This window comes from Homo sapiens, chromosome 13 (assembly GCF_000001405.40).
Source record: "Homo sapiens chromosome 13, GRCh38.p14 Primary Assembly".
In the NCBI taxonomy this organism is placed as follows: Eukaryota; Metazoa; Chordata; class Mammalia; order Primates; family Hominidae; genus Homo; species Homo sapiens.
Window position 1 is genome coordinate 71,676,081 of NC_000013.11, and position 21,300 is coordinate 71,697,380.

A 21,300-nucleotide genomic window follows, 5' to 3' on the forward strand; every position below is an offset into this window, starting at 1 on the left:
TATGTTTAATTTATTAGTGAAGACAATCCAACAATTTGCGGCTGTTTTATACTTGTGCATTTTTGTGTTCTCCTTACTTGTGAGTATCCCAATGAAATACAGAGCATTTATTATAATAAACTTCTCAACATACAAGGCACAATTTTTTTTTTGTTGAGATGGAGTGTTGTTCTCTTGTCCAGACTTGAGTGCAATGGTGTGATCTTGGCTCACTGTAACCTCCTCTTTCCGAGTTCAGGCGATTCTCCTGCCTCAGCCTCCCGAGTAGCTGGAATTACAGGCACCTGCCACCATGCCCAGCTAATTTTTGTATTTTTAGTAGAGATGGGGTTTCACCATGTTGGCCAGGCTGGTCTCGAACTCCTGACCTCAGGTGATCCACCCGCCTCGGCCCCCCAAATTTCTGGGATTACAGGCATGAGCCACGTGCCCAGCCTAGGCACAGTTTTACATTGTAAATTTTCTCCTGAGAAGTTGAAATGTTTAATGCATTTAAACTATTACAAATGCTAATATTACAAAAGAGGTTGTTTAGATATTGTTGCTGTTTACTATTTAGTAGAAAAAAAGAAAATTAAATTTGAAATATGTTTATGAATTCACTACATGAGAACATTTTTCTCTAAATTTTTTTAAAGATAAGAATGTTTCAATGGGATTAATTCTAGATTAATATTGCCCCGGTCCAGTATTTTTTCCAAAACGATAAATTTGCAAGTTATAAATTCTTACCTTTTAAGCATAAGGTATGTGTGTAGAATTGCTTTCTTTACCTGAATACGTATTAGTTATATGTCTACAAGATCACAGTGAGGGAAAAGACATATCCAACAGACAAAACTACAAATCATTCATTCATTTAATTTGAGTGTATTTTTAAGATACTAAATAATTTTTATATGTCAAAGGCAAATACTGAGGACTCAATTAATTCTTAGTATTTTTATGAAAATTGTATTTCAAAATTAATTTGCATACTGACTTAAAGATGAAATCAGAAAGTTGGCAAATACACTATCCAAATTGCATTCCTGGACAAGAGGGGAGTATTTTGAATTCCTAAATAACCCCTTTCTTAATTTTAAATAGACGTCATCTTATAAAAAGTATGAATGTTATTGGAAGTCTGTTGCTAGGATGAATTATTTCAAACTGGTAGTTATTATCAAAAATGATTTATGACAAGTGCTCAGTCAAAATAAATGCAGTGACCACAGCAGGAGGTATTGCCTTGTGTGACTCTACAAAGAACTTTCTTTCTTTCATTAACTTCAACTTCTGGTTGCTATGGCATCCGGTGACAACCATAACTTTTAGAAATTATCACCATCTGCCCACACCCCTTCTAAGGTTACACACAAGCCCACTCAAGCAGCCAAAATAACACATAAAAATTCCACAAGCAATCTCAAAGTTTGTTGTTTTGTTTTGTATTTGTTTTTGTTTTTGTTTCAAGTATAGATACCTAAATACTTAATATTAAGACTGGGAAAATACATTTTTTTTAAAAAAAGTCTTTTTTTTCCTAAGAAAACAAATGCATCCAGGGAAAACTATTATTTAACTCCAATGTTCAATTCTTGAAAAGAAACAATAAAAGTGATTAGGACTGAATCAATAGGTGTTGTTTGTTTGGTTTTTTGTTTTGTTTTGTTTTTGAGACAGAGTCTCACTCTGTTGTCAGGCTGGAGTGCAGTGGTGCGATCTCGGCTCACTGCAAACTTTGCCTCCCGAGTTCAAGCGATTCTCCTGCCTCAGCATCCCAAATACTTGGGATTACAGGCGCCCACCACCATGTCCAGCTAATTTTTGTATTTTTAGTAGAGATGGGGTTTCACCATGTTGGCCAGGATGGTCTAGATCTCTTGACCTCATGATCCGCCTGTCTCAGCCTCCCAAAGTGCTGAGATTACAGGCATCAGCCACCGCCCCCTAGCCGATCAATAGGTATTTATAAATTTGTCTAAATTAATCCATTTTCTTTTCACAGGACAAAGTTAGGCAACCTTGAAGATATATTTACATCTTTTTATCGTTTTCAAATGTTACTTCTCAGAATACAAAAGTACATAAATAAAGTCCTGCAAATTTAAAAGTCTATATGATCATATTTAGTCATATTCCCCAAATACACTAAAGCATTCGGTAGACTGTTGTGGGAGAAAGATGTTATATACTTCTTGAGAATTATAAAATGTATTTAGGATCATTAGATTTCCAGTTAATGTTTTAAGACAGTAAAGATATGTTCCCCAGTATATGAAGGCATTACTCTGTATTCCCTAAAATCTAAACTTCTGCATCTAGAAAAATTTTACATAAAAAGAGAAATCATACTGAATATATGAAGGTAACGCCATTCATGTGCAATAGTCAAACTTCTGGCAACCTAAAATCTTTGGACTAATGTTTGAAAGTTGAAAGTAAGCAAAATAGTAGTGAGCTGGCTCACACACCCTGTTCTAAAGCAGTTTGCTGAGGTCTACAGGGCACTAAACTAACTCGCTCCCTGCCTCCCTCCCTCCCTCCCTTCTTCCTTCCTTCCTTCTTTTTTTCTTCCTTTCTCTCTCTTTCCTTCTTTCTTTTTTTTCTTTCAGACAGGGTCTCTTTCTGTTGCCCAGGCTTGAATGCAGTGGTACAATCATAGCTCACCACAAACCTGGATCTCCCAGGTTCAAGTGATCCTCCTGCCTCAACCACCCCAGTAGCTGGGACTACAGGCACAGGCCACCACACACAGCCAAATTGTTTTGATTTTTGGTAGAGACTAAACCTTGCTATGTTGCCCAGGCTGGTCTGGAACTCCTAGCTTCAAGCAATCCTCCTGCCTCAGGCTCTCCAAGTGCTGGGATTGTAGGCCTGAACCCCGGGCCCAGCCTAACATCCCCTTTCTAATCCAGTTTATGCTCCTAATGAGCCTCCATTTCCTCATTCTTCTTTAGAACATGGCTGTTTAAGGTCTTTTTTCGATATAATGCTTAGCTTGACAGAAGTCCTGGTTTCTGGGTTCAAAACATATAGGAAAGAACAAAAGTAGAATGTCTGAGAAGGCACAGTGATTGAAATACAGAAAATGATCGTACTTTAAAAATGAAAGACCAAATTTAAAGTATCTTCGGTGTCTCTGTTCACCAAGCCGGCAAGTGCATAATACATTTCAGAAAGAGTTCTTTCAAAAAATAATTTAATATTTTGAGTTGGGACTTTGGAATATGACCTTCCTTTATTTAGAAACTCCACTTACTTACCCGAAAGTTACTTGATGGTGTTAATTATGTGAGGTGTTGCTATTTACATTTTCATGGTATCATCTTATTTAATCATTACTTTGGTAATGAACTATGTATCATCTTCATCTTAAAAGATTAAATATGGGCAGACAAATCTTCCCTATTATAATATGAATACAATCTAGGATACATTTTTTCTCTTATAACTGTGAGAAAGTAACAATTCAGAGTCAACACAAGTTTACTAAATACAGAAAAAATGATTATTAAAATGGTTATTTAAAAAAAAAACATCAGAAACATGGTTCATTGAGAGATTAATTATGTCACAAAGACTCTGAGGTCTTTTTTATTTCACACTTGAGTCTTTCAGCTATAAAACATGAAAAGTTGGCCAGGCGCAGTGGCTCACGCCTATAATCCCAGCACTTTGGGAGGCCGAGGCGGATGGATCATGAGGTCAGGAGATCGAGACCATCCTGGCCAACATGGTGAAACTCCGTCTCTACTAAAATACAAAAAAAATTCGGGCGTAGTGGCACATGCCCGTGATCCCACCTACTCCAGAGGCTAAGGCAGCCAAGATCGCGCCACTGCACTCCAGCCTGGTGACAGAGCGAGACTCCGTCTCAAAAAAAAAAAAAAAAAAACGGAAAAGAGAAGTTAAGATTTTCATATGTAGTATAAAAGATTTTCCTATGTAATTCCCAAGTCCCAAATTTTCTAAACAGAAATCTTTATCATTCAGTTAAACATAAATGAGCAAGGATTAACAACGTACTACCTATTTGATTTTTCCAAATCTCAAATTGGAATTAGAATATCAGGCAGTAGGATTCAGTTACTTGAAAAACATGATTAAATAAAGTAAAATGACGATAGTTGCCTTGAAATTGGGCAGTTTTCAGCTATTGATTTCATTTTTCTATATCTCAATTTTTCATGCATGAAATTAGTATAAAAATATTTTCATGGAATTTTCAATTATTTACTATTAAAAACCTTTGGTGGCTGGGTATGGTGGCTCATGCCCGTAATCCAGGAACTTTGGAAGGCCAAGGCAGATGGGTCACTTGAGTCCAAGTGTTCAAGACCAGACAGGGCAACATGAAGAAACCCCATCTCTAGAAAAAAAATACAAAAATTAGCCAGGCATGGTGGCCTGTGCCTGTAGTTATAGCTACTCAGAAGGCTGAGGTGGGAGGATCTCTTGAGCTCAGGAGGTCCAGGCTGCAGTGAGCCACGACTGAGCGACTGCATTACAGCCCAGGTAATAGAGGGAGACTCTTTGTCTTAAAAACAAAAATTAAAATTAAAATTAAAATTATTGAGGCCTTGCTGAAAAAAATATTAAATATATAAAATGAACAAATAGCCGAAATAGCTACAAATTAAACTCAATGATTTTTGTTAAATATCCACAAAGGTGAATGAACTGTTTAGACATTACTGCAAAAATGAAGATGAGTTAGAGACAGTCATTGATGTCAAGAAACTTCCACCCAATTATGACATATGAAATAAGATTAATCCATGATTATATCAGAGCACACAGAAAGACAAATGTTACAAAGAAAAATACAATACTGATACAGGAATTTAGAGAAAAAAGAAAAACTCTCATCTTGCCTGATTACCTTTCTTGTATCAGCTGTATTATAATACATGACATTTATATGTTCCTATGTATATTTCCTTAATAGACATATGATAAAGAAAAAACATTAATATAAATATTCTATATTATATAATAATATCAGCAATATTTCAATTTGCTCATGGATCTGGCTCATTTCCTGATGAAACAATAAAGATGGGCAAACATATGTTTATGTAAATAATCTAATTAATGAACCCATTCAGGGGGTAGAAATCAAACGAATTAATTTTGCTCCAGTGCATTATGAAATTTCTTTATGGTATGGAGCTTATGAAGTCAAGACTATTCTTTTACTTATACATTTTCAAAATTCTAGAAATAAACATCTTTCAAATGGGTTCTAATAGAAACGTATTAGTTTGTGAAAAATTACGAGACATTTCTATTCAATACAGTTACTGTCTTTTGTTTGGATGCATGTCTATCAATTTCTGGAATGCTAAACAAGTTTAAAATCCAAAGACTTGGGTTTGAATAACCACTGACAGCTACAGCTGAGTGACCTTGAGAAAGTCACTGATTTTCTCTGAACTTTGATTCCTTAATAAGAAAATAGGAATAATAATTTGATGTTTGATATTTGTGGTAGGATTAATTAAAATAATTTCTAGCACTGTGCTCAGTTCAGCTTTTATTTTATTTTAAATAAAGAAAAGATGGTAATCATAATGCAGTTTTGAAATAAATTATCTCAGTAACATTATCTTAGTGTGCACAAAATATAATTGATGTGTGTAAATATCGATGTCACCACAGATATATATAAAAGCTACGACATTGGCTGATTTTTAATATTTTTTGGCATAAGTGAGTAGCAGTCTTACCTGTTGGTGGAATTATCCCAGGAGACATGAGACCAGGGACAGAATGCGGCATGATGTGAGAGTTCTCTGGGGAGGTGACACTTTGAGTCCTCTTAGGAGGCCTTCCAGGTCTAGAACTGAAACAAACAAACAAAAAATTTTTACAATTAAGCTATTGTCTTACACATCATTTCAAAGTTGTTTCAAGTGGTAACATGGACTGTAAATAAATTTGTTTCAAGGACGGTTGCTTTTGCAGTTAGATGTAATAGACTTCCATCACTAATTAGATTACATGCTGAATTCATTTTCCTCATTGAAGATCAGCCACTCCTGATGCATAATTCATAGCCTGCACCTCGTTACCTGCTTCTTCATATTAATATCTATACACAGTTTGAATTGCCTCGTTTGCATATGCTAAAGTTCTGCATGCAGCCTTCAGCACGAAAATTATGCACTAACTTGTAATAATTATTACAGTCAGCCTGCTATTGATTTATGAGAGTTTTAAAAACCAAATATGTGTAGTACTTGTAATGAATGATATTTTAAGGTTCTTCAGGAAATTAAAAGGCAATGGCTGCCTAAGGAAATGTTCTGCTTGTTTGATTTAATACTACAGTTAGCTGGGAGGTGGAATGAAAGAGTGATTCAGACCTATAGCACATTTTTCGATGATATGTTTTATTACTTCGCACTGCTAGCCTGATATCTAGATGATAAATGACAATACATATCTAATGTGTGAAAAGGTCTTGCAATTTCTTTATTTTTTGTCATTTAAAAGATAAGTCAAGTTATCATTTAACCCTTATTCTATTTAAGTGAACATCCCCCACTAAGTTCCCTTACTTTTAATATACTAAAATATACTTGAAAGGCTTAGGATTATTTGTAGGGTATCATTAAGGAACTGCCAGTGTAGCATCTCATATGTACCTTTAGGATAAATAAAAATACCTTGTGTTTTAGCAGTACTGTACTTTACATGCCTATTGCACAAGATTAATTATTACAGTTATAAGCAGAGGTAGAGACAGCTATTGGCAATCATTAATGGAAAACAACCTAAAGTATATAATATTACAATTTTTGAAAACAAAGTTTTAGCATTGTGTTTTCACTTTCTGCCTCTGTATCATAAATGTGCTTTATGAAATGCTCTCCCATCATTTATTTGGCCAAAACGTGCCTAGATATTTCAAAACTAACAGATATAACCTCATAAATAAGCATTTTCATGTTTTGCCTTGGCTGAGATCCCTAGACTTATCAGAAGATTCAAAGATGTTATCTATTTAATTTAGGTAGGTAATGTTTGTGGTCATTGAGCAAATAATTATTAAGTACCTGCTGTTTTCAAAGAGGTGCACTATGGAGGCTAATTTAGGAGAACGGGTTCTTAGACTTCAGAAGTTTGTATTCTTGCCAAAGGGGAAGAATCTGGTGCATAAACAACTATGATGCAAATTGTAAAGTGCTAAATCCCATAAGAAAGTTGCAATCTGAATACTAATTGGAAGTTAGGATGGATGATGATACTACCATGTCATAGGAAGGAAGAAGGCAGCGGGAACATTAGAAGACAATTCTGAAGAAGAATTAACCATGGAGAAGAAAAGAATAAAAGAAAATTACACTCCAGTGAGAATGTGAGAAATAAATGAAACCATGAAAAATGTATGGATATACAGGATTGTTTCAAATGAGCTGAAACAAGTCAAATAGGAAGAGGAGCAGTGATTGAGACTTTCAGAGTTATTGCCTAGGGCTAGATCCTGGAGGATGTTGGAAAACGAGCAAGACTGTTTGCTTGTCTTTGTGTTTTCTTAACCCATAGGGATATTGTCGTGCTTATTGTTCTTGAAGTATCCCTCAAGCTACTTCCTCTTATTATTACTTTCTCATGATTGCTGCTCATTCTCAGTTGGCTTTTTAACTCTTGTTTAGTTGTCTGTGGTCAATCAACAGCCCTCTGATAGTATCCATTTTCCTTGAGTGATCTCTTCTATTAGCATCACTTAGATGCTAAGGGCTAAGGGCTAAATATATATCTATAGCCCATATCTTTCTCCTGGGATTCAGACAGATGAATGCTTATGTGCTGGAAATCTCTGCTCGGATGTTCTATAATAATCTAAGACTCAGCTTGTCTAAATCTGAACTCAGCATCTATCCCATTAATACCTATTTTGCTTTCCCCTGGTTCAGCGAAATGGAATCCAACCGACTAAGCCAAAAATCCAGGAGTCACTTGTGTCTTTTCCTTCTTTTATATACTCAAATATTATCTTTCTGAGGTTACCTTTCTAATCTATTTTCTCTTCTATATCCCCACTCCTACCTTCCAGATCAATCCCTCATTTCTTGATACATGGTTACAGCTTTCCAAACTCTTCCAAGACACACATTCAATTTTGTCCCACTCCAGAGTCTAGAGTCCAGAGTCTAAACAACTCTCCATGCTAATTCCAGAAGGATTTTTATAAAATGCAAATTTGACCTTGCTTTCCATTTGCTTAAAGATATCAGTGGTTCCCTACTGGATTCACAATCCTTGAAATGGCATCAAAGCCATTTCAATATTTGGTCCCTGACGGCTTTTCCAATTTCAACACTTTATTCCTACATTCATAGCTTATATTTGGCCCTACTCAGTTTCTTAACAGTTTCCTGAGTGGCTCTGGTCTCCTATTACACTGTCTTTAAAGATGCTGCCTCCTTTGCCATCAAAGCCCTTTTCTATGCCAACCAATCCTCATTCCTGTTTTATCTGACTAAACCTGCCTAAACTTTAATCATCCTTCTTACCAACCACTTCTAGTTAGTATTTTTTCTGTGCTCTACGATAGAGCATGGGGAACCTATAATTCTTCCTGCACTGATTGCAATAATCGGATTATTTGCTTATCTCCCAAGGCTACTTGACAGAAATTGCACAAAATATATCTGTGTGTCCTTAAAATGTAGCTCAGTGTCTGGTTCACTCTATGTAGTAAAATAATAAAAATAATAATAATAACCCTATTCGTAAAGCCATTTCTCCCAAATCCTTCAAGTATACTACCTTATCAATTCCAGGGTCATAAAGTTTCCAAGAAATGAAAAGTAAGGCACAGAATGAGTTTGAAACTCTAACTTGAAACGTAATGCTAAATATACTTCTCAAGCCCAGAGAAAATAGAATAGAGGGTTTGGGAAATCTCAAGCAAGATGCTACAGAAAAAGTGGGAAAGAACAAGGAAGTTAAAAGATTTGAAATGTATAGCCCTTTAACTTGTTTTGATTTTAAAGAAAATCAAACTACTTAGGAGTACTTTATTATTCTGGCCACAGGAATTGTCCCCACAGCCCTCACTCTGGAAGTAGAAGTGAGGCTACTAAGTAGGAACACTTTAATTCACGCTGTGATTAGAATAGACCCGGTGGGCTCCTTTCACCACAGATATCTCCTGCCCAATCTATCACATTGCCTCAAATTCCACCAATAGAGATTTATTGCTTTCAGTCTTTAAGCTTTAAGTTCTTTTAAAACCTTTCATTAAAATGCAAATACTCTTGGTGGTGGTAACACCCTAAAGCCATCAGCTAACACCCTACTGGGGACTACTTTCAATTAGGTGAGATGCCTTTGCGAAGAATGAAAGGGACTGAAAGAAAATACTTGTAGGGACAAGTAAATCACTTATTCTTTTGCCTAAGAACAGGACAACAACTATGAACCTCTCGTTGGAGTTATTCCCAACTTCTTGGCTGAGGAGAAGTTGGAAAATTTATTTATTAACAAGACTTTTCTCTATCCCTTCACAACCTACAGTTAGGTTCCCTTATTGACAGGCTTGATATTTTATCCTTATGCAATCCTGGTCATTAACTCCTAGGGGATTTGAATACTTCAGGGAAGATAACTGTAAAATAATTGAATATTTAAATTTCTTTCAAAGGCATTTTAGGGAACCTCCAAGAGAACATGAGTAATACTCTGGCCAAAATCACAGATTTTATTGCCTGGATTGATCCAGCTGTGATACTGGCTCTACCAATTTACTAGAAGGTGTAGACTTGACCAAGCTACCTAACTTAGAAAACTTGATTAAATCAGGATTTCTTTAAGAAGTGTTTTGTATCTTTGTTAGAAATAAGTTATTCTTAAAAAGAAAATACTTAGAAAAACAAAAACTTAACTGAAAAGAGGAAGCGAAACAATGAAAAAAGCATTTTCTTCTGGAATGTTCAATTATCTCAATAGTAGCCACTATCAACCCATCATTTTCTATAAGAGCGACCCATTTCTATCCCAGAGGATTAGAGCAAGCTGAACTCTCCTAGCTCTAATCAAACGGAAGACCTCACTTAAATAATTACACTTAATAGCTTGAATAAAATCACAATTTATGATTTTGGTAATTGTTTTTGCCAGCTTCATGCATTAGCCTTAGTACAGGCTTTAGTATTTTCAAACATCTGCATTAAAAGAGGAAAGCAATAGCTTAGAGATGTCCACATCCACATTTAATATCCCAAACACTAGGGAACTCACCCAAGCACACTTTCTCCTGCAGTTCTAAATAAAAAGCTTTCCCACCCACTCCCATTCCCAACCCGCCACACACAGACAGATCGCCAGGGGGGTCTTCTTTCCTTAGTTTATAACACTAAATCAATCTCATGCTAATTTCAGTCTCTCTCCTACAACTGTATAATGTTTACTAACTTTTCCAGGTCCATTTATTGTTTTTATTTAAGGTGAAGTCAAAATTGAACTTAACAAAAGTGATAGTAATTAATAAGAAGCTTAGTGCAAAAGAGCAAGAGATGTTAGAGTACTTTATAGAATTTTCAATATCCAATCTTCTTTGTGGACATCATCTTTTGTTAATCTCTTCAGTAGTTTTTGAGAAATTAAGCTTAATTCTCTTTCTAAGAGTTGGGGCAGAGAAACAAATAAAATTCAGAAAAACAAAAACAAAAACTGTGGTGTCTACACATTGGAAAATGTGAAAGTAGCTGCCCAGCAGAAATTTTAAGTCCAAATCCTACCTGCCTGGAGAAAGGAAAGAAAAGTTCCATTCAACCATTCATTCATTCATTCATTTATTCAAGAGAAAAGAGCTACTGTATATAAGCACAGGGCTAGACATTAGGGTTTCAATAATAAAGACACAAGCCCTTCTATAAGAAGGACAATAAAATTAAATAATCTGTGGGGTAAGTGCAGCAGAAGGATACATGGCAGCAAATGAGCACTGAGATTAATCCTGGGACACAAACAAGCATTTACGAGTGAAAGCAACTTGCTCTGCTGATCTGCAAGAGTTCATTGGCCCTCTCCGATCTATTTACGCAAGGAAAGTTCCAACTCTGTGGTTATATTCTGCATATTTTTTTCTAGGAAACTGCTCCTACAAAACCAAGAGGTTTGTAAACTTTATATATGTATGTATGTTTATATTATACATTTTATATATATACACATATAAATAATTTATTTCTGATGGGAAAGTTACAATTTGCTTAATGATTTGCATAGCCACTTGAACATTATGGAATCATGAAGAGTCATGTTTATAAGTTTATGGTAACATACAGGAATGCTTACTTTCTAAGTAACATGAAAAAGTAAGATACAAACCTGCAGATATGGGCGTATCAGAGCACATGAGACAGAAATCAAGTAAAGGAAGCAATAAATACATAGAAAAAAAGACTGAAAGGAAATATGCTAAAATACTGAATGCTTATCTTTGAACTCTGAATGGAGAGTTACTTTTTTTTACATATGAAGATTTTCGTTTCTCTGTCATAAACATACATTATGTTTAAAACATAAAAACAAATTTTTGTTTTTTGACACAAGGTCTCACTCTGTTGCTCAGGTTGGAGTGCCGTGATGTGATCACAGCTCACTGCGTCCTCAACCTCCTTGGGCTCAGGTGATCCTCCCCGCTCAGCCTCCTGAGTAGCTGGGACTACAGGCACACACCACTATGCCTAGGTGATTTTTGTACTTTTTGTAAAGAGCGAGTTTCACCATATTGCCCAGGCTGGTCTCGAATTCCTGGGCTCAAGCTATCCACCCGCTTCAGCCTCCCAAAGCATTGGAATTACAGTGTGAGCCACCGCACCCCAACATAAAACAAACTTTTAAAACTAATTTGACTTCAACAACTTGGATCATATTTTTCAGAGACTTCATTGTGGACAAATCATGACCCTAGCTAAACTTTATTAGTGCCTGAAGTTTGCCTCTATCTCATATAATTAACCACATATAATTGTCCTTTTAATCTTTCCTTTCCATTTGAGTTCTAAAATATCTGCTAAAAAGCAGATGATTATAAACAAAAATATTATCCTTGTGAGAACTATAAACTATGAAAAGCACAAATAATCACTGACATCGTCTAGATTAAATAAACCTCAGGAAATAGACCCAACAGCACAAAAGGATATAAAGGACTTCCTAAGATTAATGTATGTATATCAATATTTCGCCAAAAGAAGCGGCTGATTTGGAATCCTCAGTTTATCAATGCATAGTTTTCCCTTAGAAAGATGTTGTTAACTTGTTAGTTGAACTTTTCCTTTTTTCAGTTTCCTGAGAGGCAACAATCCAAATCATCCAGAAGCTATATGATTAACATTATTTTCCCTTCTAATGCAAATTTTTTCCTATTGCTCGTAAAGCTTTGAGGGATACACTTTTTAAAATGGTGACTAATGTGAACATATTTTCATTCTCACGTTCCACATTTGTTTGGACTTTTAGTGTTCTCTGTGTAGTTGTGTGTCCCAGTCATGTGCACTTCTCAGTACAAACAGACTATGAACTAATGCATCAAACAGATTACTTTCCCACACTCACCAAAATACAGAGGTCCATGGGGCACCTGCTTACAAATATCACCAGTGGACACCTTGTGAACACTTTCAGCTTATTGGCTCACAAGCACAAAAGCACTCTCTCAACTATTAACATGGCAGGTAATTCAGTACACCAAATGAATAAATACATACACAAATATGCAAAATACAAATGTTCCCTGGGGAAAAAGTTAAAGTATATTTTAATTAAAAGATTCTGTGTTCAAATTAAACTACTAAGCATATGTATGTTTTGTGGAAGAACTTGACAGATTCCTGAAGTTTTTAATTTTGTTTACTGGGGCAAGTTATCAGAGTTTTCACTATATTAATATGCATTACAAATTTCCAAGAATGGGGTAACATAGGCATTTACTAAACTTAGTTCACCATGAAACCTGCCATTGCTAGTGAGTTTGTTTGTTTGTTGTTTGTTTAAAGACTTGTGCTCTAAACAAATGTGATATAATCAATGGTATGATTTACATTTGAATTATGAAAATTTCTCATCTCTCAACAGTACCAAACCATGTTCTATATGTCATAGGGCACATGAGAATTATTCCCCAAAAGTTAGGAAAACAGCAATTCACATATTCCACCGGATGCCAGAATGGGGGGCTTTACCCTTACATCACACCAATATGTCCTCATCATTTTGGTTACCATTATCTATTAATATTACTGCATACATATTTGACCAAATTCTGTAAAAGTTGAATACTGAGCAATGTAAGAAATAATTGGGTCAAAGGGAAAGGTTTACAAAGCAGGTGATCATCTAACTTGAAACATTTTACTCTCTACCAGAGGAAATGCAAGAGTTCACCATTATCAAAAAAATTAATATCAGTAAACTAAAAGCATCGTTAACAAAAAATAAACAGAAGTTAAAATTAGCTACTCTGGTGAGGATAAATTATTGTGGCCTCTGACCTCAAAAGTCACACTGTATACAACCAAAATAGTACAAGAAATTTATTTAATATAAAACCTGTTTAAAAAGCCAAAGACAAAATATCTGAAGTCTCCAGCTCAGTTGGAGCTACTACATACTGAATAAGGAATTACCCCCAAAGAAAGAATTAAAACACATTGGAATGTAACTAAGCCACTCTTAAGCATTTGTATATTAAGTGTTAAAAATTAATGACAGCCTAAAATACTAAAGAGAGTTCCTGTCGTAGGTAGTTGGGATAATCTCGCCCTCGCCCTCGCCCCTAAAGCTTCTAAGTCCTCTTCCCCTTTTTTAGAATATACATAAGGTCTAAGTTAAGAAGATATTTAAAATCCATTATGTATATTAGTTATACTAATCTTAGAATATATTAAGTATTATATTAAACTTAGTTTAAGATATGTTAACTTAATGAATATATTTTTGGAGCCTAACCTTATCAGATCAGGGAGATGGATATATTCTTGCCTCAACTGGAATTCTTTACATCCATGGTAAATGTCCCTTTATAAAGTGAATCAAGTCACTTACCACTTGATAAGTAAATGCATCAAACAGATTACTTTCCCACACTCACAAAAATACAGAGGAATATTTTGTGAGACTGAAATGCTTTTCAATGCAACTTAAAGTTTTAAAGAGATATACAATTTAATACTATTTATGTTTACCTTTCTATAGCATACATTATGCATCTACATATATGATTTCTCCCAGAGTTAATACCATTTGCAAATTTCATTTAGTGGCATGTTTGTCTAGAAAGCTAAATATTTTTAACCTTTTAATCACCTTACAGTTTTCCTTTCTTCCCGTAAGTCTTCCAGGCCACATATGATTCTACCCACAACACCTCTCTTTTACAATTATGTGCAAAAGCTTACTAGAATCCCCTAAAGAACAAATTCTGAAATAATTAGAAACAATTGTAAGTGGCCTTCTTAAAGTTTGGGAAAACGTTAATACTATATTGGATTCTTTCTCAAAGCTCCTGTCATACCTCACAACAATATTCTAGAAAATTTAAATTTAATATTAAAACCTATTCCAAGCCCAGGTGCGGTGGCTCACGCCTATAATCTCAGCACTTTGGGAAGCCAAGGCAGGAGGATTGCTTGAGCCCAGGAGTTCAAGACCAGCCTGGACAAGATGGCGAGATCCCATCTCTACAAACAATTTAAAAATTAGCTGGGCATGGTGGTGCATGCCTGTAGTCCCAGCTACTCAAGAGGCTGAGGCAAGAGGATCCCTTGAGCCCAGGAATTTGAGGTGGCACAGAGCTGTGATCAAACCACTGCACTCGAGCCTGGATGACTAAGTGAGACCCCAAGTAGTATCTAAACCAATTTTTTACACCAACTATGAACTCCATAATCACAAATAAAAATGTTTTCCTTTTGTAATTTTTCAATTTACATTTCAAATGACAAGATATTCACAGCAATTACTATTGGCTATATTTTGTTTGAGCCAAAAGCAATGCATTTGGTCTTTCATTTCAATGGCATATGCGAAGAACCTGTTTATAAACTTGCAGTGGAAATGGTCGACCATCATTCTGTTTCTTCAGGTTATTGTTAATTTGGTCCCAATATGAACCCATTGCTCCTATCTCAAAATAATATCCAACTTTCCTTTGTAGGAGATGCCATTTCCAACACTTTAAAGGCTGCTTTTCCAAATGTTTTTGTTTTATTTTTGAATAGTAGATAAAATAACGAAATAATTGCAATTATATTATCTACTGCCAGGGATTGTGCTAAATTCACTATGTGATCTAACTCTTTTAATACTTTGACAAACTTTTGAGATAAGTACTATTACAATCCTTATTTTTTTGGTGAGACATTGAGACACCAGAAAGTAAAAGTAAAATGACTTACCTAATATCACACATATTAAAAGTAATAGAGTCAGGTTGTGAACCATGGCAATCTGGCTTCAGATGCCAAGCCCTGAGCCCAGAAAGTAAAAGTAAAATGACTTACCTAATATCACACATATTAAAAGTAATAGAGTCAGGTTGTGAACCATGGCAATCTGGCTTCAGATGCCAAGCCCTGAGCACAGTGTAATACTACCACTGTAGCAGATTTGCATGTTAATGTAGTCAACAAACATTAATTGAACATGTCCATGTGCCTGACCTTTTAATATGTGGTGGAAATAACAACAAAATACTATACCTTCCCTCAAGTAGCTCATGGTCTATTTTGGGAAATACATCGATACATAGAGAATTACACTAAACCGTGTTAAATACTGTAGTAAATGTTGCAGAGCATGGTTGTTGGGACAAAGTCATGGGGGTGCTTCAGGGAAGATGAGGTATGAGCAAGCAGGAGTTTGTCAACTGAAGGAGAGGAGGGGGTGCTAAGTAACGAAACAGCCATAGAGGCATAGCCCCCCATTACACACACACACACACACACACACACACACACACACAGACACACACATACACTTCTGTAATGAAGGCTGAAGTACTCAAATTTGAGTACTTATAACATCTAATATTAGTATTAAAAGGTCATTTATTAAAGAAAACACTTCATAAAGTATTAAATAAAATTCAATAAATGTAAATCATATTAACAGCAATGTTTGGTGCTTAATTGGGTCAAAGGGAAAGGTTTACAAAGCAGGTAGTTATCTAACTTGAAATAGTTTTCATTTCCCCATCCTTAGCATGGTTAGTCTCACACAGTCCAGCACATAATTATTCTCTAATAGTTTTATACGTCAAATCTTCTCTGTCTGTACTGTCTGCATATTTCTGACTTTGAGAAATGTGTTAGATATATGATGGTAGGCACTGATTATTAGTCAAACATCTTTAGGATATCATGATTTGTTTGCCTGTGTTATTTCTTTCTTTCTTTCCTTTCTTTTTCTTTCTTTTCTTTCCTTTTTTTTTTTTTTTTTTTTTTTTTTTTTTTTTGACGGAGTCTTGCTCTGTCACCACCCAGGCTGGAGTGCAGTGGTGCAATCTTGGCTCACCGCAACCTCTGCCTCCCAGGTTCAAGCGATTCTTCTGCCTCAGCCTCCGAAGTAGTTGGGACTACAGGCGTGCACCACCATGCCCGGCTAATTTTTGTATTTTTAGTAGAGACGGGGTTTCACCATATTGGCCAGGCTGGTCTCGAACTCCTGACCTCTTGATCCGCCCATCTCAGCCTCCCAAAGTGCTGGGATTACAGGCGTGAGCCACCACACCCAGCCCGTTCACCTATTTTAAATGTATTTTCTTGTGATGCCTTATTTAAGAAGAATTTAAATAGAACACAATTTGGTGTTATATTATCAACTACATAGACAAAATCTGAATCTAATCAAAAATGAATCCATCTCCCCTTCAATACTTTACTGTAATAGGGATTTGTATTCATAAGATGGAAATTCATTACTCAACTGGGTTTTATCTCATTTTTCTGTAATCACTTATTATCTTAATCTTAATCAAAATTATTGTCATATTTTTGATATAAGAAGGACACATTTTGTAAAGAAATTATAGCAAACCAGCAATAAGAAGGAAAAAACTACAGCGAGTGTGCATAAATCTTTATAAAATAAAGCAGCCATAACCATAAATTACTGGTAAAGTAACTTTAAAAGTTAGTAAAGTAAGTCCACATACACACACACATACATTCAACAATCTGGTATGATAATACCCTCTTATCCATTTGTTTTGCTTTTTTTTTTTTTTTTTTTTTTTGAGACAAGAGTCTCGCTCTGTCGCCCAGGCTGGAGTGCAGTGGTGTGATCTCGGCTCACTGCAAGCTCCGCCTCCTGGGTTCACGCCATTCTCCTGCCTCAGCCTCCCGAGTAGCTGGGACTATAGGTGCTCACCACCACGCCCGGCAAATTTTTTTTTTTTTTTTTTTTTTGTATTTTTAGTAGAGACGGGGTTTCACTGTGTTAGCCAGGATGGTCTCGATCTCCTGACCTGGTGATCCGCCCGCCTCGGCCTCCCAAAGTGCTGGGATTACAGGCGTGAGCCACCGCGCCCGGCCTGGTTTTGCTTTTCGAGTTCAGTTACCAGTGGTCAACTGCTGTCTGAAAATAAGTATGGTACAAGAAGAAACTCTGAATGAGAGAAAGAGAGGCCACATTCATATAACTTTTGTTACAGTGTATGGTTATACTTGTTCTATTTTATTCTTGTTGTTCATCTCTTACTATGTCTACTTTATAAGTTAAACTTTATCCTAGGTAGGCATGGGTGTATAGAAAAAATACAGCATATATAAGGTTAGGTACTATCACACTTGCAAGCAACCATGGGGGGTCTTGGAACATATCCCCCATGGGTAAAGGGGATTACTGTATAAGCATCTTCACATATAAATCACAAAAGTAGAAAAATAGTTTTGTTTGTATTAAATGATTGCTCCTTAGAGATGTAGTCTCAAATGAGGGTAAAAAAACCTATTAAATCAGAACTCAGACAATCTTGTCTTCCCACTTATGAATGCAGAGGCAAGATGGCTGACGCAACCTAAAATGCATGTTTTCACCCTTCACTGACAAGTTATTTGTATGCCACCTCTGGAGAAAATGTACATAACTAATTTGTTTGAGAAACCTGTAAACACACACACACACACACAAGCACACACACATCCGCCATTCCCCTCCACTGTGTAATGCATGAGGAGCTGTCAAGAAACGTAATCCTGAAGCACAAATTCAGACACCAACTCCAGAATTCAGAGACCTCCTGACAACTTTTTGATGCCCCCGTGAGGATTCCAGGCCTATGAACTAATGAAAAGGTGATGTTAAGATAGACAAAGGCTGTTTCCAGCCTGCAGAGATTTAATAACCTGCTTAATTCATTACCTGACATAGATGATACCTACCTATGCACCAAACATTGCTGTTAATATGATTTACATTCATTGAATTTTATTTAATTCTTGATGAAGCATTTTCTTTAATAAATGACCTTTTAATACTAATGTTCAATGTTATAAGAAATTAAGATATAAACTACCGGAACCACAGAGTTGGAGAAGTCATTGGCACCTGTCCTTTCAAGCTTGAATAGACACTGTTTTACCATGGAATTTTTTTCTCCTGGAATACTAGGCTGAGGCTGCTTTTAAAATCCTGATCATTATCCTAATTCCCATGTTCCCTTATTTATTTATAGCTGAATCATATTTTAAAATACTAAAAACATAGTGCCTTAAAAGCGTTGTTTAAACTGGCTAAAGCATAATAGCTCACATTTAGAAATTACATAATGTATGAACTAGAATTCTTTTGAGCACTTTATGTATATTATTTCACTTAATTCAAGAAACTTCTGGGATGGAAATACTATTTCCATTTTATAAGTGTGGAAACTGAGGCAAAGATACATTGAAGCATAGAATTATGGAGAATAAAAGTATAAGTTTTCTTATTATTTCAAATTGAAAAAAAATAGTTTCTTGATTAAACCTGTAACTAACATTACATTAGAGAGAAGTCTAGAAAAGACAACAGCTATGACATTTTGATTTCTTAAAACAGAAGACAGAATTCCATATTTCAGTCAATTTTTAATTTCATTGCTTGTTAGAGGATTTTCTAATATTTAAAACACGGCTTCAGTCTTGGTCAAACTTCCCTTACAGTCCAGGACCTTAGATCTGATGACTCACTTCAAATGCGTCCTCTCTTTCCAACATTATTAGTGCACAGACATGTGCTAGGTGACCCTGGCATGCAAAGGCCGATTCTAGATACCATGGCAGAAACAAGGCAGCAAAATATAACCCTCTCTCCAAAAGTCGTCTTCTTATTGTTAGAATACATAGCTATGACACTAAGCTTTAAGTGACTTTAGAAAGAGAAAGGAAAAAGAGAAGAAACTCTCAGAAAACCTAAAGACAAAAAAAGCATTTAAGATGAGTCTTCAAGCGTGAGTATTATTTTAACTAACAGAGAGAAAGTGAGAAGAATGCATTGAAGATTTTCAAATGACATGGTCAAGGGCTCCAAGGCAGAAAAATGTGGAGTTCACCAGAAATGATGAGTGTGTCCAGGCCTCAACAAATGCTCCATCTGCAAAGAATCAGTGAGGCCATTTCGGTAAATTCACTATGTTTCTTATGCTACTCCCAGCTATATTGCAAGTCCTTTGAGATAATCACCAAGGCTTGTTTCTTCTAAAGCCCTCCTCCACTGTCCATTACAGAGGGCAGCAAATTGTGTTTGTTCAGTAGCCTTGGCTAACTCAACCAACAGGGTTGAGTTTGGCAACTGCAGATCATACTGTAAAAGGCAAAGCAAATATTGAGTGTTTAAAATAGGGCCTTCACAGATGGGCCATGTGTGATCTACTATGACACTCATACTTAGGAAGTGATAGTATGTGAAGTACAGTGCTCATAATTTAATAGGTTTTTATGAGGTTAGCATGAAAATTAATTTAGCTGTAATTATCAAGATAGGGATGAAAAACAATGAGATCTAGGGAGGGGCGTAAGGGCTAAGGGATGCCAATCTGGGCTATACTCATTGCCTGGGTGACGGGGTCATCTTCACCCCAAACCTCAGCATCACCCAGTGTTCCTATGTGACACACCTGCACATGTACCCCCAAATCTAAAATGGATGTTGAAATTATTTTAAGAAATCATGAGATCTAATAATAACTGAATTTACAGTGTAATTAACATTATGCTGAACACTTTGATGCACATTATATAATTTAATCTCCACAATAACTCTATGATATAACTATCATCATTATGCCCATTTTAGAGATGAATGGAATGGTTCCTTATGAGAGAATAAGTAACTTGAATAAATCACAGACTGCTAAAGAAGTAGGACCAGGCCTGTCTGTGCAAAAGTCCATGCTAAATTGCCATGCTAATCATAAAAATGTTTCAGCCTTAAGTAACTTACATCAGAAGCAAATAGCCATATCTAGATAATTTTTCAAATTCACTTTTTTTTTTTTTTGAGACAGAATTTCACTCTTGTTGCCTAGGCTGGAGTGCAATGGCACAATCTTGGCTCACTACAACCTCTGCCTCACAGGTTCAAGTGATTCTCCTGCCTCAGCCTCCCGAATAGCAGGGATTACAGGCATGCACCACCACACCCGACTAATTTTGTGTTTTTAATAGAGACAGGGATTCACTATGTTGGTCAGGCTGATCTCGAACTCCTAACCACAGGTGATCCGCCCACCTCAGCCTCTCAAATGCTGGGATTACAGGCATGAGCCACCGTGCCCGGCCTGAAATTCACTTTTAAGACTGCACTGCTATTCCACGACTCTGAATATATTTACTATTTAAAAATATACGTATTATCTCTAAAAAGAATTGAATGTTCCTGTCTCCACTTGCTGTTGCTGCTGCTTAGAATGCTCTTCAGTCAAACATCCCCATGTCTCACCTTCCCCAACCACTACGCAAAGTGCACTGGGTCCACTTAATAGTTCCCTTCTCCCACCTCACTGTGTTTTTATCTTCAGTGTTGTTCAGAAATACCACATAGCTACTTGTTTATTGGTGACTATCTGTCTTGCATATTTCATGAGGGCAGAGATTTTGAATGTTTTGTTCACTGGAATATCCCCATTTTAGAGGAGCAATGTTTGGCACAAAGTAGGGACTCGATAAATATTTATTAAATGAAAAAAAATGAATGACTGGGTGAAGGAAGGAATGGATACACATTGCTGATCTATGGCCATCTGAATCAACATTGTCTTAGCAGTTATTTAAAGACCTGAAAGGATGGTACTCCGACTTGTCAGAGTGTTGTGTA

At 36.0% G+C, this 21,300-nt stretch overlaps 1 protein-coding gene across 6 annotated transcripts in view; it reads right to left on the bottom strand.

Annotated features, from left to right (window-relative positions):
• DACH1 (dachshund family transcription factor 1) overlaps window positions 1-21,300 on the bottom strand; it is a 429,239-nt gene that overhangs the window by 238,115 nt on the left and 169,824 nt on the right. For all 6 annotated transcript variants that reach the window (NM_004392.7, NM_080760.6, NM_080759.6 and 3 more), the window contains exon 2: window positions 5,715-5,830. In NM_004392.7, the coding sequence (NP_004383.4) occupies window positions 5,715-5,830 (116 nt within the window). The remainder of the gene's footprint in view (window positions 1-5,714; window positions 5,831-21,300) is intronic.